The following is a 16,334-nucleotide window of genomic DNA, read 5'->3' as shown; positions in this document are numbered from 1 at the left end:
ACCTTAAATGAATCAGAAGTTCTAACTGGCAGTTTAAGGGGTTCATTAAACCCCTTAATTTAAGTGGGTTAATGGAGATGAGTTATTCATTATACATGCAATAAGTCAGGCAATCAAAATATTTGAAAAGCATGGTTTTTCAAAACACTTCTTTTGCTGGTTTAAGAAAAAGGAAATATTAAATACAATAGGCTACATTTCATCGAGTTTTTTGGTACAGTTGATAATATAATGACAAGAGCATGAGTTTTGGAGTTGAAAAGGTTTATGAATTCTTGCTCCTCAATGTAATAAATAAATGTGGAAACTTGTAAACATTTCTTAACTTTTCTAATCTTCACTTTCTTTAAAGGTAACACAAGGTGCTAGCTCCCACACGACAGGTTGTTGTAATTATTCAGTAGATGATATATGTACAAGGTCTAGCCCATGGTAAGCATTTAACCAACATCAGTTCCTTTCTCAAGCCCTTTCCTCCTCATATCAAACTATATCTTAATTCCTTGTTGAGCCAGTGTAACAGACTCAGTAAGTCTTAGAAGAAAATGTACCTTCATAATGCAAATGGACTAGAAATTTAAATAATCAACAAAGTGCCCACAATTAAGTGTTCCATCCAAGGACAGAGCCAAATGGGGATTCTATCCTTTTCAGTCTCCTTCATTGGTTCTTCTTCATCTAACCTCTTAAATGTTAATGTTTCATAAAAACCTATCCTTGGCCGGGTGCGGTGGCTCACACCTGTAATCCCAGCACTTTAGGAGGCTGAGGTGGGTGCATCACCTGAGGTCAGGAGTTCGAGACCAGTTTGGCCAACATGGCAAAACCCCATCTTTACTAAAAATACAAAAATTAGCTGGGCGTGGTGGCGTGTGCCTGAAATCCCAGCTACCTAAGAGGCTGAGACAGGAGAATTGCTGGAACCCGGGAGGCAGAGGCTGCAGTGAGCCGAGATTGCACCACTGCACTCCGGCCTGGGCAACAGAGCAAGACTCTGTCTCAGAAAAAACCTATCCTTAACTTTCTGGTCTTTTCATCGTACATTTGCATTTTGGCCATCTTATCCATTTCCATGGCTTTGGCACCTGCCTATATACACTAATAACACTAATAACTTCTAAATCCTTATCTCCAGTCTTTCTAGAATTTGTTTTTTTTTTGTTTTTTTTGTTTTGTAGAAACAGGGTCTCGTTTTGTTGTCCAGGCTGCTCTCAAACTCCTGGCCTCAAGCGATCTTCCTGCCTCCGTTTCCCAAAGTGCTGGGATTACAGGCATGAGGCACTGCACCTAGCCCTTATCTTCAGTCTTTACTTCTCTCCTGATGTCCAATTGCATGTTTTCTCTCTTTTTCTTTTCTTCTTCTTTTTTTTGTTTTTGTTTATGACATGGTCTCACTCTGTTTTCCAATCTGGAGTGCAGTGGAATGACCTCAGCTCCCTGCAGCGTCAACCTCCTGGGTTCAAGTAGTCCTCCTGATTCAGCCTCCCATGTAGCTGGGACTAGAAGTGTACACGCCACACCCAGCAAATTTTTAAATTTATTTTGGTAGAGACAAGGTCGCACTATGTTGCCTAGGTTGGTCTTGAACTCCTGAGCTCAAGCAATCCTTTCACCTTGTCCTCCCAATGTGGTAGGATTACAGATGTAAGCCACTGCACCTGGTCTCAATTGCATATTTTCAACTGTCTGCTGAATATGTCTAACAGTTATCTCAGTTTCAGTTATCTAACATCTTAATATAAAATACATACTTTTTTCATTATGATTAATGTTAATAACACCTCTAAAAAGCCTATATGAAAGATTTTGTAGCCATTCTCAACTCCTCTCTTTATCCCATGTCTAACTGTCCACTGCTTTAGTTAGATTCTCTAGAAGCATAACCAGAAACAAGAATTTGAATGTAAGAAGTTTATTTGATGAATGATGCAAGGAAGCACTAGTAACTAGGAGATGGAAAAGGGATGGAAACTATTTCAGATACATTAATTAGTAGATTATCACTTGTTGGGAACAAGCCCCCCAAAATCTGGTCATAAACTGGCCCCAAAACTGGCCATAAACAAAATCTCTGCAGCACTGGGACATGTTCATGATGGCCATAACGCCCATGCTGGAAGGTTGTGGGTTTACCGGAATGAGGGCAAGGAACACCTAGCCCGCCCAGGGCGGAAAACCACTTAAAGGCATTCTTAAGCCACAAACAATATCGATCTGTGACTTAAGGACATGCTCCTGCTACAGTTAACTGGCCCAACCTATTCCTTTAATTTGGCCCATACCTTCGTTTCCCATAAGGGATACTTTTAGTTAATTTAACATCTATAGAAACAATGCTAATGACTGGCTTGCTGCTAATAAATACGTGGGTAAATCTCTGTTTGGGGCTCTCAGCTCTGAAGGCTGTGAGACCCCTGATTTTCCACTTCACACTTCTATATTTCTGTGTGTGTGTCTTTAATTCCTCTAGCGCCAGCAGGTTAGGGTCTCCCCGACTGAGCTGGTCTCAGCAATCACTGTGGGCAACTGGGGCTCAGACTCACTGGAGGCATCTGGGAGACAGCATAGAGCATGCTTCAGAGTTGCCCTACCCAATCTATATCCATCAGCTTCCATCAGTCATTGAATGAGAACTGATTCCAGGGACTTAACTCTCTACACTCCTCACCTGCCCCATAAGTGCACAGAGTGAGTATCAGCAGCCAGAGAAATCTCCCAGGAAGAGTTTCTGATGCTTGCAGTAGAAATGCTTTGAGTGAACATGCAGAGGAGAACTGAATGCTAAGAGGATACAGGGGAGACACTCACAAGATCTGTGATAATCACCAAGTCCTATAAATTCTGAATGTGAGAATGAGAGTGAAGGAAACATTGAGATGGCTCCAGAGTTGCTAGCTTAGACAGCTGGTAGAGAGTGAAACCAATGCAGAAATAGGCAACAGAGGAGAAAGAGCAGCCTTGGAAAAAGATAATGAGTTATGTTTTTTTTTTAATTTGAGATGCCAGCTGGACAACTGAGTGGAGAAAAGTTATTGGAGCACAATTCTAGAGCTTACAAGCTCCAGACGTGGACTCGGAAATTTGCTGGCATGTCGACACATATGGGAATAGATGAATTCAATAAGGATAGCATGTTTTTAAAAAAACGTTATGAGGGAGCATGAACAGGAGCTGAAAATGGAATGTCTGATACAGTGTTGGGCGTGGGGCAAGTCCAGGCTGGAGCGCAGTGGCATGAGTATAGGCTTCTCACTCACATGGTGTTTGGTAGTTTCTTCTTGAGCCAATGCATGTATTATAGTAGCAGGCTTCCTTGTGCTTTCTCATCATAGTAATGTACTACTTGTAAATATATTTTTCCATTTTCTGTTTTTTTGTGTTTTTGATATTTTGTTTTATTGGTGTGCTGTATGTTTTCCATGCCCTCACTCCTTTTTTTTTTTTTTTTTTTTTTTTTTTTTTGAGACGGAGTCTCGCTCTGTCGCCCAGGCCGGACTGCGGACTGCAGTGGCGCAATCTCGGCTCACTGCAAGCTCCGCTTCCCGGGTTCACGCCATTCTCCTGCCTCAGCCTCCCAAGTAGCTGGGACTACAGGCGCCCGCCACCGCGCCCGGCTAATTTTTTGTATTTTTAGTAGAGACGGGGTTTCACCTTGTTAGCCAGGATGGTCTCGATCTCCTGACCTCATGATCCACCCGCCTCGGCCTCCCAAAGTGCTGGGATTACAGGCGTGAGCCACCGCGCCCGGCCCGCCCTCACTCCTTTAAGAAAAAAACTAAAAAAGGAAAAAAGCAACATACACCCACACAAAATCACTATTTGTTATATTATTTTTAACTGGGCTCTGTGGTCTTCTAGAAGAGGCAGTTGCACAGAAGAATCCCTCATATAGTGCCACTCTCCTCCAAATTGCCTCAGACAAGAACAAAATTGGTGAAACCCACACAGTGGGACCTGAGGGGTCATTAATTGGCCCCCGCTGTCCCCCAAATTGTTCTATTCCACCTAACCACTGCCCTAACTCCTGGCCTGAAAGTTTTCTATTAAGAAATTTATTCTTATTGCTCCATCTCCAAACATTTTCTATTCCAACAAGCTAACAGTTGCTGGATTTAAATACGATTCTTCCCTTAGGGAAAAGAGGGTAAGAGGATTATTCTAAACTCTGTGTGAAGCTTTACATCATTTGTCCATTTAATCATCACTCCAGCCCTGTGAAGTGGTTTGCCAGTAGATTTTCTTGGATGGTTAGCCAAGGAACTAAGACTGTCAAGTGGATGAAGTAATTGTCATGGAGGGTAACATCCTTTCCCAGTTGGACAGACTTAGGGCAGGGGGAGGGGAGCAGAGTGAGTGGCAAGTAGATAGCAGGTGAAGGGCAGAGGCTGAAAGAAAAGAGGAGCAAACATTGATGAGAAGTCAAAGACACCAGGCTTAGTAAAAGTGCTGTATTGTCTCGAGTATGAGTACTAACCACTGCAGTAATAGTGTTAACAACTTTAATAATCTGAATTTTCTTTATAGCTTGTAAGATCTCTTCATCCATTCACTCCCTCACAGGTCCAGTAATCACTGAGGGCCCACTATGTGCTTGACATTGTGCTAAAAGCCAGGAAAGCAACAGAGAGCGAAACCAGAGCCAGTCCCTGACCACATGGAGTTTACATCCAGACGGTGTAACTAGGTTAACCAACTACTGCCATATAAAATAGAAGAGTGCAATTACGATAAGCGCTGTGAAAGAGCACGGAGATCCAGAAAGGATTTGAACAAGTTGGGCAAGACAAAAGAGCAGAAAAGGCTCTTCTGAGGGAGTGATGCTTGAGCTAATATCCAAACAATGACAAATTATCTGAGCAGGGAGGATGGAATGAGTGTTCTAGGCAATAAACATTATCAACATACTCATTTTACAAATAGGAAAGAATGTTATAGGGAGAACTGGACTGACAATCAGGAGACTCAAGTTCTAGATCTAACTGCTCCTTTACTTTCAGTGCGTGTAATCTAGCACAAGTCATCTCTTCTTTTTATTTATTTTATTTATTACCTGCACTACACAGATATAGCATATGTCATCTCTTGGCTTCCCAAACCTTAAATTGAAGGGCTCCAACGTCCCTTCTAGCTATAAAGCCTACAGTCCTATTTAACTGAGCTGCAAAGAGCTGGCTTATGAAGAACTACATAATGGTCATAGTAGCCTCACACCTGTTAGGATGGCTAATTATCAAAAAGACAAGAGATAACAAGTGTTGGCAAGGTTATGGAGAAGAAGGAACTCTTGCACAATGGAAATGAAAATCGGTATAGCCATTAAGGAAAACAGTATAGAGCTTTCTCAAAACATTAAAAATAGAGCGACCATGTGACCCAGCAATACTTCTTCTGGGTATATACCTAAAGGAAATGAAATAAGTATCTTAAGAGATAGCTGCACTCCCATATCACAACCTTATTCACAGTAGTCAATATATAAACAATTAAGTGTCCACGAATAGATGAAAGGATAATATTCTATTTTATATATGTACATATGTGTTAAATTATATATTATATTATCTTTAATAATATTAATAAATAATAATAACAATAATTTAAAAAGGAGGAAATCCTGTCATTTGTAACAACATGAATGAACCTGGATGACATTATGCTAAGTGAAATAAGACAGACACAGAAAGCTAAATAGTATATGATCTTACTTATATGTGGAATCTAAACAAGTCAAATTCATAGAAGCAGAGAGGAGAATGGTGGTTGCCAGGGGCCAGAGGGTGGGTTGGGGGGAATGGTGAGATGTTGGTCAGAAGGAACAAACTTTTAGTTATAGGATGAATAAGTTCTGGGGATCTAATGTTCAGCAGGGTGGCTATAATTAATAATACTGTATTGTATACTAAGAGAGTAAATCTTTTTTTTTTTTTTTGAGACGGAGTCTTGCTCTGTCGCCCAGGCTGGAGTGCAGTGGTGCGATCTCGGCTCACTGCAAGCTCGCCTCGCGGGTTCACGCCATTCTCCTGCCTCAGCCTCCTGAGTAGCTGGGACTACAGGAGCCCGCCACGCCTGGCTAATCTTTTTATTTTTAGTAGAGACGAGGTTTCACCATGTTAGCCAGGATGGTCTCGATCTCCTTACCTCGTGATCCGCCCGCCTCGGCCTCCCAAAGTGCTAGGATTACAGGAGTGAGCCACCGCGCCCGGCCGAGAGTAAATCTTAAGTGTTCTTCACACACACACACGCGCACACACACACACACCGGTACTGGTCCTTGGCCTGTTAGGAACTGGGCGGCACACAGGAAGTGAGTGGAGGGCGAGTGAACGTTACTGCCTGAGCTCTGCCTCCTGTCACATCAGCCAAGGCATTAGATTCTCATAGGAGCGTGAACCCTACTGTGAACTGCGCATGCGAGGGATCTAGGTTGCCTGTTCCTTATGAGAATCTAGCTAAATGCCTGATAATCTGAGGTAGAAGTTTCATCCCGAAACCATCCCCCTTTTCTACGAAACCAGTCCCTGGTGCTGAAAAGTTTGGGCGGGGGGGACCGCTGCTTTATGGGAACTCCCATTCCATGTTTGAGGAATCCACTACAGTTTGAGACCAGACTCCATTAGCAAGCCCAACTGGCCACCCCTGGCTCTCCCGGCCTCTAGCAGCTAGAGCAGGCACGGAACCTAAGCTCTGCCAATCAGATGTATTCACCAGGACCCGAATCAAAATGGGCGGCACAAAGAAACCATGACAACTTAGAATGCACCCTACTGGCAGCAGCAGTGACTCTAGTGTCACTGGCCAGTGGTGGCAAGGTAGTGTCCTACTCATACCCTTCCTGTGGAAAATCTCAGCCGGGGCCATTTAGCTTTCTGCCAATTTGCCAAGCTCATTTCTCAAAACTTCATGTTAATTCTGTTGCTATTGGATAGCCTGCCAATAAGTTCCTTTTCTGCATAAGCGAACAAGAGATTTTTCTCAGGCTATTTGCAACCCAGAATTCTGACTGGTACACTACCATTTATTGAAAAGCCACCACATACCAGACACTTTAAGTGAAGTATTATTAGAAGTCTCATTTTCCTATTTTTTATTAGAAAGTCCTATTTTATTATTAGAATTATTAGTCCTATTTTATTATTAGAAGTCTCATTTGCCTATTTTATAGGCAAGGAAACAGAAGCCCAGAGAATTTAAATAGCATATCTAAGGTCACGTAGCCAGAAGTCCACTTAATCTGCCCCAATCTTTCCTCAGTTATATACTACATCACCAGACACAGTACTAATTGGCAGAGAATAGTGTCCCTGACTCTTCCTTTTTACTACCTCATATTCTTATTGTGGAAGACTTCATCCCTGGCATTCCCCTGTCCTGATTATGTAACCCAGGTTTCCTGGAATTGAATTCTCCCCTTCATTATGGAAAAAATCAGCCCAAATGGATTTCAGAGTTATTGCCATACAACTCACAGCTCTGGGTTTTGTTTAGGGAATAACTGTAATTCACTTCCTAATCATCTTTTTCCTGAGAAATTTCATTTTCTTAGATGGTGCTTAAACAACAACAAAATTGTGTCAAAATGCTAATCTAATTAATTGTGGTTGATTGAGTAGATAATAATGAGTCATAGTGTTAACAGTATCTAAGTGAGCAGAGTTTTAGAATCAAAAGGCACCAGCACCTTCTGCCCAGAAGAGGGCAACGTTCTCTCATTATGCTATCTGCAAAAGCTGGGAACTCCAAAAAGGAAATGTATATACTGTGGTAGGAACCGAAGGATTTACCATTAACGCTTCAAAATGATTCTAAATACAAAGTTATTAGGCCATGATGTGCCATACTCAATAATCAACAATTACCAAGTGTTTGTTGAGTGTTTGTTGGATATAAAATATTGCACAGGACACTGAAGGAAACACAAAAAAGTTATCAGCACATCTCCCTGATTTTATAAAGCTCATGATTTAGTTGAGGATATCAGGCATCTATGCAAGCAGTAAAGAAATATCGGCCAGGCATGGTGGCTCACATCTGTAATCCCAGCACTTTGGGAGGCCAAGGCGGGTGGATCACGATGTCAGGGGTTCAAGACCAGCCTGACCAACATGGTGAAACCCCATCTCTATTAAAAATACAAAAATTAGCTGGGCATGGTGGCATGCACCTGTAATCCCACCTACTCAGGAGGCTGAGGTAGGAGAATCGCTTGAACCCAGGAAGCAGAGGTTGCAGTGAACCAAGATCATGCCACTGCACTCCAGTGTGGGTGACAGAGCAAGACTTGGTCTCAAAAAAAAAAAAAAAAGAAAAGAAAAGAAAAGAAATATCAGACAACATGCCATCCTGGGCTGGATTTCCGTTCACACACGCCCCTTTCCACCTTTCTCCTCAAACCAGCAGTAGACATATGACTCACTCCTTTGCCTCCTTGAAGTCCTTATTCAAAAGTTACTTTCTCAGTGAAATCTGTCCTTACCACTCTAATGAAAATCGCAACACAACCCATTTCTGCCCTGCACTGTCATTCTCCTTGACCTGGCTTTTTTTTTTCCACAGCATTTATCATCTTCTAACATTCTATATAATTACTTTGTTGTGTTTGTTTTATAACATTTTCTCCTGCCAGTAGAATCTAAGCTACACAAGTACTAAGATTTCCATCTGTTTTGTTCAGATACATCCCCGGAGCCTGGAACAATGCCTTGCATGTAATAGGGACTCAAAAAAAATTGTTCAATGAATGAAAGTCAGTAGGAAAGATAAGTGCTGCAGGAATTTGGAGGTGGGGAGATGGTAAGTAAGGGGCCAGGGACCTGGGGGATGTCTTTGTGCAAGACGTAATTACTGAAATTGGATTTTGAAAGGTGGGTAGGATTTTGATAGAGGGAGATGAAAAGTCAGGGAGAATGTGACTCCTGAGGCCTAGAGACATCTGGGCAAAGAGGAATAAAGGACAAAGGCATAATAATTTACCAAGTAGTACAGGGAAAAGGGTATGGGCTTTAGGGTAATGCCTAGGGGTTTGAATCTCATTGTGCAATTCCTTTGTGCCCTTGGACAAATTTGCTGACCTCTCAATTATTTCCTCCCCTGTGAAATTGAGATAATACTTTCATCGAAGACTGTTGGGACAATTAGAGAAAACTTGTAAATAATCCACCTGGTTCACAGTATGTCCTTAAAAAGGTAAATTATTATACTGCTATAACCCACTGAACACTTATCAAGCAGGTTTGTTGAATTAACTTTTTTTTTTTAGCCCGGTCTCATGCCCATTGCCCAGGCTGAAGTACAGTGGTGTAATCACAGCTCACTGCAGCCTTGACATCCCAGGCCCACGTGATTCTCCCACCTCAGCCTCTCGAGTAGCTGGTAGCTGAGACTACAGGTATGCACCAATGTGCCCAGCTAATTTTTTGTATTTTTAGTAGAGACTGGGTTTCACCATGTTGCCCGGATTGGTCTCAAACTCCTGGGCTCAAGCTATCTGCCTGCTTCAGCCTCCCAAAAGAATTCACTTTCAGAGTACATTTTGAGTCACTTGAGTCTCTACAGGTATTCTATAGTGAATCTTCCATAAAATGGATTAAAGTAGTTGCCATGAAATATGAGTCTTTAATGAGCTCTAAGAGCAAGTATTAATTGCACTTTACATTTTATAGAATTCTGTCACAGACATTACCAGTACTGGTCTACATAGTAGTAATCCTGACATCGATATTATTATTATCATTACTTCTGATAATAAAGCATGAAACTACTGCTTTAATATGATTGAGTTGCTGGTCGAAGCTTACAAGTCTGACAAGTGATTAAGACAGAACTCATATTCAGAATTTCTGATCCCAAGTCCCTCACTCTTTTTATAAAATGACTCTCTGCCTCTAACCATTTTTACGGGACTTGAACCAACACAATTATACTGTTGATCTGTTCAATCAATTGAAAAAAATCTAAATGCCTCTGAAACCCATAGATGCCTTCTCGCTTCCTTTCTCTCTCTAACTGAGACTGAGATAAGAGGAACGGGAGAACTGGAGTGTATCTCTTAAAGGCCACTTTCTGCCAGCTTATGAAGGATTTCCTCTCCATGGTCTTTGTTCTCACAGAATTTAAACCCCTTCAGGTGGAAATGGTACTTGAGGGAAAATACTTATCTCTTTCAACACATTTCATTTAATATTTCAAGTTAAGAAAGAATTAAGAAACAAAACAAGAAGTGAAATGACCCAAACACTCAAGATCTGTGAATAAATCCACATTGAAGTGGAAAAGTTATTGCTATATCCAAGGATTAAAAGAGCATGAAATAATGTAGGAGAAAATTGTGGTAGGGCATTAGAAAATCTATTAGGCAGAGAGGAACTGGAGTTTGCTCTTCACATGACAGGGTATAAAGAGGTACATACGGGCGGGTTTAAGAATGAACTAGATGTGGCCAGGCACGGTGGCTCACGCTTGTAATTCCAGTACTTTGGGAAGCTGAGGGGGGTGGATCACGAGGTCAGGAGTTCAAGACCAGCCAGGCCAACATAGTGAAACCCCGTCTCTACTAAAAATACAAAGATTAGCTGGGTGTGGTGGTATGCACCTGTAATCCCAGCTACTCGGGAGGCTGAGACAGGAGAATTGCTTGAATCCGGGAGGCAGAGGTTACAGTGAGCTGAGATTGCACCACTGCACTCCAGCCTGGGTGACAGAGCAAGACTCCATCTCAAAAAAAAAAAAAAAAAAAAAAAAAAGAATCAACTAGATGTAATGGGATTAGATGAAGTTTGAATGCAAGAGCTGTAACTACCATACAAATATAGCTATCCCTACCAATACTATTACGGATGGGTTCTCTGATATGCTATAACAAAGAACATAATTATTATCTGCCACAGATGGGATATTTCTTTGATTCCTATCCACAAACGAAGTAGGTATTTCTTATTTATTTACTTAAGTCAAGAAGATAGATGCTGAAAGACATAATCTCTACAATTCTTCCTTTCTGCATCTCTTAGAGAATTGCCAATTTTTGCTATGCCAACAGTGATACACTTCATCATGATTTTTCTGACAAAATCACCTTTAGCATGTTAAGCTAAAACGTGTTCCCATCTAATTTTTTTCTGGAGGCATGTGAAGTCAATTCTTTTAAGTTCATCTTTTAAGTTGTTCTCCCCAAGATGACAAAATTCTATCCCATGGTAGCAATTAATCAACAAATCAACATGTAGTACCCACAGTATGTCCAGCATTATACATGCTGCTGTGAAGAATATAAAAACATATTGTTCTTTTTTTTTTTAATTTTTTTTTTTTTTTTTTCTGAGATGGAGTCTTGCTCTGTCACCCAGGCTGGAGTGCAGTGATATAATCTCGGCTCACTGCAACTTCCGCCTCCTGGGTTTAAGCAATTTCCTGCCTCAGCCTCCCAAGTAGCTGGGACTACAGGCAGGCACGCACCACAGCACCCGGCTAATTTTTGTATTTTTGGTAGAGACGGGATTTCACTATGATGGCCAGGCTGGTCTTGAACTCCTGACCTCAGGTGATCCGCCCTCCTCGGCCTCCCAAAGTACTGGGATTACAGGCGTGAGCCATTGCGCCTGGCAATTTTGTTTGTTTGCTTAAATTTTATGGAAAATTTCAAACATACACAAAACAAAGTAGCATAATAAACCTTCATAAATCCTTCACTGAGTTTAAACCATGATCAGATTATAGCCAATATTGCTTTACTGCTCACTTCCCTTCCATTTTATTTTGAGACAAATCCCAGTAGTCATATAATTTCACCTATAACTAGTTCAGTGTGTATCTGTAAAGGATAAGGATTTTTTTAATATAAGGATTTAAAAAAAACAAAATAAAATTTAATTCCATAATGTTATCAAATTTCCAGTCACTGTTCAAATTTCCATTAAGACTTGTTATTCTTCTTAACAATAACATTGACAGCGTTCTTTATATACATCAGGCACTGTGCCAAATAATTTATAAACACTATGCAATTTAATCTTCACAATAACGCTATGAAGAAGGTAGCATTATTATCCTATATTTTATAGCTGAAGGAACTAAGGCTCAGAGATGTTAAGAAATTTTCTCTGGTCAATGCCTTCAGAAGGTGAAGAAAATCTGCAGAAACAGAAACCAAGGTCACTTACAGTGGATTGCTGACAGGATAATAGGGTTATATTTAAAGGAAATCTATCTGTTCTGTAGCTGACAACAACAACAACATTCTGTTAGACGTAGGCCTGATAATCCATAATGCACAACTATTAAGATTTTTCTGTATTCTGTAATAAATAAGAATTCTAAAGAAAAGTCATTTCAGGATGCAGTTGAGGAGGTGTCTTGCCAGAAGTATAAAGGGGCCCACAAATGACCAGCTTCATTTTTTCGGTTATGAACCTGTAATATGTGACACAACCAATAGATGGCGGCAACATGGCAGCAATATTAAACGTCTCTGATCCTATCTTGCTCTATCCAGTAACAACCCTGCTTCACTCTGGATTGCTCCAGCATATTTCAGCAGATGTCTCAGTACTCTGAGCACTCTAAAGGTAATTTTGGGAACACAGAAAAAATGAAAGTGTAGGTTAGTGTTTCTCAAAGTATGTCTCACAGGCCCTCCACCCCCCAACACATCATCAGTTGGAAGCCTTGTTAAAATGATGAGTTTTGATGACTTGGTACAAGAAATGATATAAAACATTTTAATCATCATTTATGTTGATTACATGCTGAAAGAATAACATTTTGGATATACTAGGTTAAATAGAATGTATCATTATATTTAATTTCACCTTTTTTTTCACTTTTTAAAGTGTGGCTACCAGAAAATGTAAGATTACATATGTGGCTTATATCTGTGCCTCACATTTATGGCTCCCCTTATATTTCTATTGGACATGTCTGCCCTGTAGAGATGTGACTCAAGCCTGGCCAATCAGAGCAACACATTCCCATGGCCACAGGAATCGGTTTAGGGACTTAGGACAGAATGAGAAAGAATGAAACACACCCTTGTTCCTTTGAGATGTCCATCTGAGTGGATATAGAAACTGAAGCCATTGCAACTGCCTTGCCTCCATGCGTGGTCCTATGATGGAGCAAACTCTAAGGAATTAGAGGTAATCAAGGAGAGAAATGGCATCACAGTGATACGGAGTCCTGGATGATGTTGTGCCTGTCCTTATTTCTGTTTCTGGACTCCCCAGTTATATGAGCTGATACCTTCTCCTTTTTGCTTAATCTAATTTTGGTTAGAATTTCTATTGCCTGTAACAGAAAAATGCCTAAATCAGTACATTGGCATTAGTGAATGAACTTTGTGAACCAATTTCAGTTAAAAAGAAGCCATAATTTAAGGGATTGAAAGCAGAGTGATAAGGAAATATAGGCAGAAAATGTAAACATGATGTTTGGTGGTAAAAGGAAAGATAGGCCGGGCATGGTGGCTCACGCCTGTAATCCCAGCACTTTGGGAGGCCCAGGTGGGCGGATCACAAGGTCAGGAGTTGAAGACCAGCCTGACCAACATGGTGAATCCCCATCTCTACTAAAAATACAAAAATTAGCCAGGTGTGGTAGTGCGTGCCTGTAGTCCCAGCTACTCAGGAGGCTGAGGCAGGAGAATCCCTTGAACCCAGGAGGCGGAGCTTGCGGTGAGCTGAGATTTCACCATTGCACTCCAGCCTGGGCGACAGAGTGAGACTCTGTCTCCAAAAAAAAAAAAGAGATAGCTAAGTCAGGGTCTGCTCAAAGGAGTATTGGTTCAAAGGAAGCAGATTTTCTGTTTGTTGGTTTGGGGAGATCTGTAATATCCTCATTGCCTAGTTTTCCCTGGTTTGGGGTAAAAAAGAAACAAGGAATGTCTTCTCATCACCCTCTCAAAAGTGTAGCATTAAAGTCTAGGCTTTCCTTATCTTAGAAAAGAGACTTCTTGAAGTAACCCAAGCAACAAGTGATACATTCCTGAACTACGTTCATAGAGGTGGAGGGAAGAAAAGAAATTGAAGAGGCAGTAAAGAATGCACAGTTAAAAGGCTAGTGGTTTACTAGATGTAGGGGATAAAAAAGAGAAAGATAAAGATGGCTGGGCACAGTGGCTCATGCCTGTAATCCCAGCACTCTTGGAGGCCAAGGCAGGAGGATGACTTGAGCCCAGGCATTCAAGACCAGTCTGGGCAACATAGGGAGACCACCCCCCGCACCCCACTATACCCATCTCTACAAAATAATTTTTCAAAAAATTAGCTGGGTGTAGTGATGGATGCCTGTGATCTCAGCTACTCAGGAGGCTGAAATGGGAGGATTGACGGAGCCCAGGAGGCCGAGGCTGTAGTGAGCTATGATCATACCACTGCACTCCAGCCTGGGTGACAGAATAAGACCCTGTCTCAAAAGAGAGAGAGAGAGAGAGAAAGAGAAAGACAAAAATGACCTTCAGTTTCCTGACTTAGGATACTTGGTTTCTGGTGATGCCTTTCACCCACAATGGAGTACAGGAGCAGGAGCAGGTATGATGGAGGTGCGGGGTATGTTTTTTTATACATGCCAGTTCATCTCTTTGCTGTCCTAGGGCCACTGGAACTGGCCTGAGGATGCCCCCTTACCTTTTCTTTCATTTTTCTTTATTCAAAGGGCTACTCCAAGAAACCCTCACTCTCTGCAGATCTCCAGACAAGAACTTGACAGCAGTCTTCATGGATATAGAAAAATCCCTCACCCTCGGGGACACTCATCAATCTCTCCTAAATATGCTCAGCTAACTTTCCACCCACAGCCGCACATTTGGCTGCACAGCTAGTATCCAGCCTGGGATCAAGAAGCCAGTCTCCCCTTCTTGTAGGACCTCCGGTCTTTGTGAGTGATTCCCTCAGAGACCCACGACACATTGCATGGGGGTGGGGTGGGGAAGACACTTCCCGGTGGATGAAAGCTCAAGAACTCTCAACTCCTACTCCACCACAAATCACATCCCCTTCCCCAGGCCTCTCCTTATTTAGAGGGCAACTAGTGTAGGGGAGGTAGTAGATGGCAGAGGTAGTAGATGGCTACTTCTGTGTATGGCTTGGGGGAAGAACCTTACCATATTTTTTAGTGGTTTTCTTCAGAATGCTGGGAATAAGAGCTTTTTTGTTTTTTGCTTGGGTTCCAATCACCAGAGTGCTAGAAGGAATGAATGAGGGAAACCTGGTAGAGCTGGGGAAAGAAGATTCCGGGCAGAAGGACCAACAATGCAAAGACCCCAAGGTGGAAAATGTCTCAGCATGTTTAAAGATCAGAAGAAGGCACAAATCTCAAGATCCTTAGCACAACCTATAAGGATCTTGAGGAAATTGCATCTACTTGTCTTTGCCCTTGTCCATCAATGCATTTCCCACTCCGCCTTCTGAGCACCAGTTTTCTATTGCTACACAGCAGGCTGTCCCAAAACACACTGGCTTGCAACAACAATGATTATATCTCATGAGTCTGGGGTTGACTGGACTCAGCTAGGCGGCTCATGTGTGCCATGTGGTTATTCACATAGGTGTGCAGTTATGTGCATAGCTTCATTCATCTGGAAGCTTAGCTGAGGCTGAAATGTCTAAGATGGCCTCATTCATATGTCTGGGGCTTGGTTATTGACAATTCTGTTGTCTTCTTGGTGCTTCTGCCCATGGCCTTTCTCTCCACACAGTCTTTCATTGGTCAATAGTCTGACCCAAGTACTTTACATGGCAACTGGCTTCTACAAAGGTGATAACTAAATTTCCTAGCCTTGGAAATTTCACAAGATCACTTCCATTACATTCTACTAATAAGTCAAGTTACATGACCAGCCCAGAGTCAGTATCCCAAGTCTGGATGGGAAGAACGAGAAAGAATTGTGGCCATCTTTAAACTGCCATATTCTGGCAAAATCAATTTACATTTTTATTTTTTGAACACCATGCTGCTTCATTACTTGTGTCTTTGGACACAGAATTACTTCTGTCTGGACTGGCTTTTTCCTTTCCCTTTCTATTATCTTTATTAGTTACCTTATTAAATTACTTTGCAAGTTTCTTAAACCTCCACAGTGACCAGTCATTGGATATAGGCAATGACCTTGGGCATGGCAGCCCTCTTCAGTCTAGGGCAATTTCTGGAGAGGGCTGGCAGCCCTGGCAGCTGGAGGAATTAGTATGTTAATTTTGAAGGGGTATCTGGGTGGTATAGCACAATGTCCATTGCATCCTACTGCCCTCCCGCATCTTCTGTCTCTGTGTTGATAATCTGTTTTTTGTTTTGTTTTTTGAGACAGGGTCTTATTTTGTCACCCAGGCTGGAGTGCAGTAGTGCAATCA

General features: G+C 41.7%; 1 long non-coding RNA gene across 1 annotated transcript; it reads left to right on the top strand.

The window, feature by feature from the left end:
* Positions 13,016-16,327, top strand: LOC105375445 (uncharacterized). The gene is made up of 3 exons (XR_927851.2): positions 13,016-13,130; positions 14,644-14,865; positions 16,292-16,327. It is a non-coding gene; the product is annotated as an uncharacterized LOC105375445 (long non-coding RNA).
* Positions 16,328-16,334: the final 7 nt, after the last annotated feature.

The sequence above is a fragment of the Homo sapiens genome, chromosome 7, assembly GCF_000001405.40.
Source record: "Homo sapiens chromosome 7, GRCh38.p14 Primary Assembly".
Taxonomy (NCBI): Eukaryota; Metazoa; Chordata; class Mammalia; order Primates; family Hominidae; genus Homo; species Homo sapiens.
The sequence above is the reverse complement of the archived record's forward strand: the minus strand, read 5'-3'. Positions and strand labels throughout refer to the sequence as shown.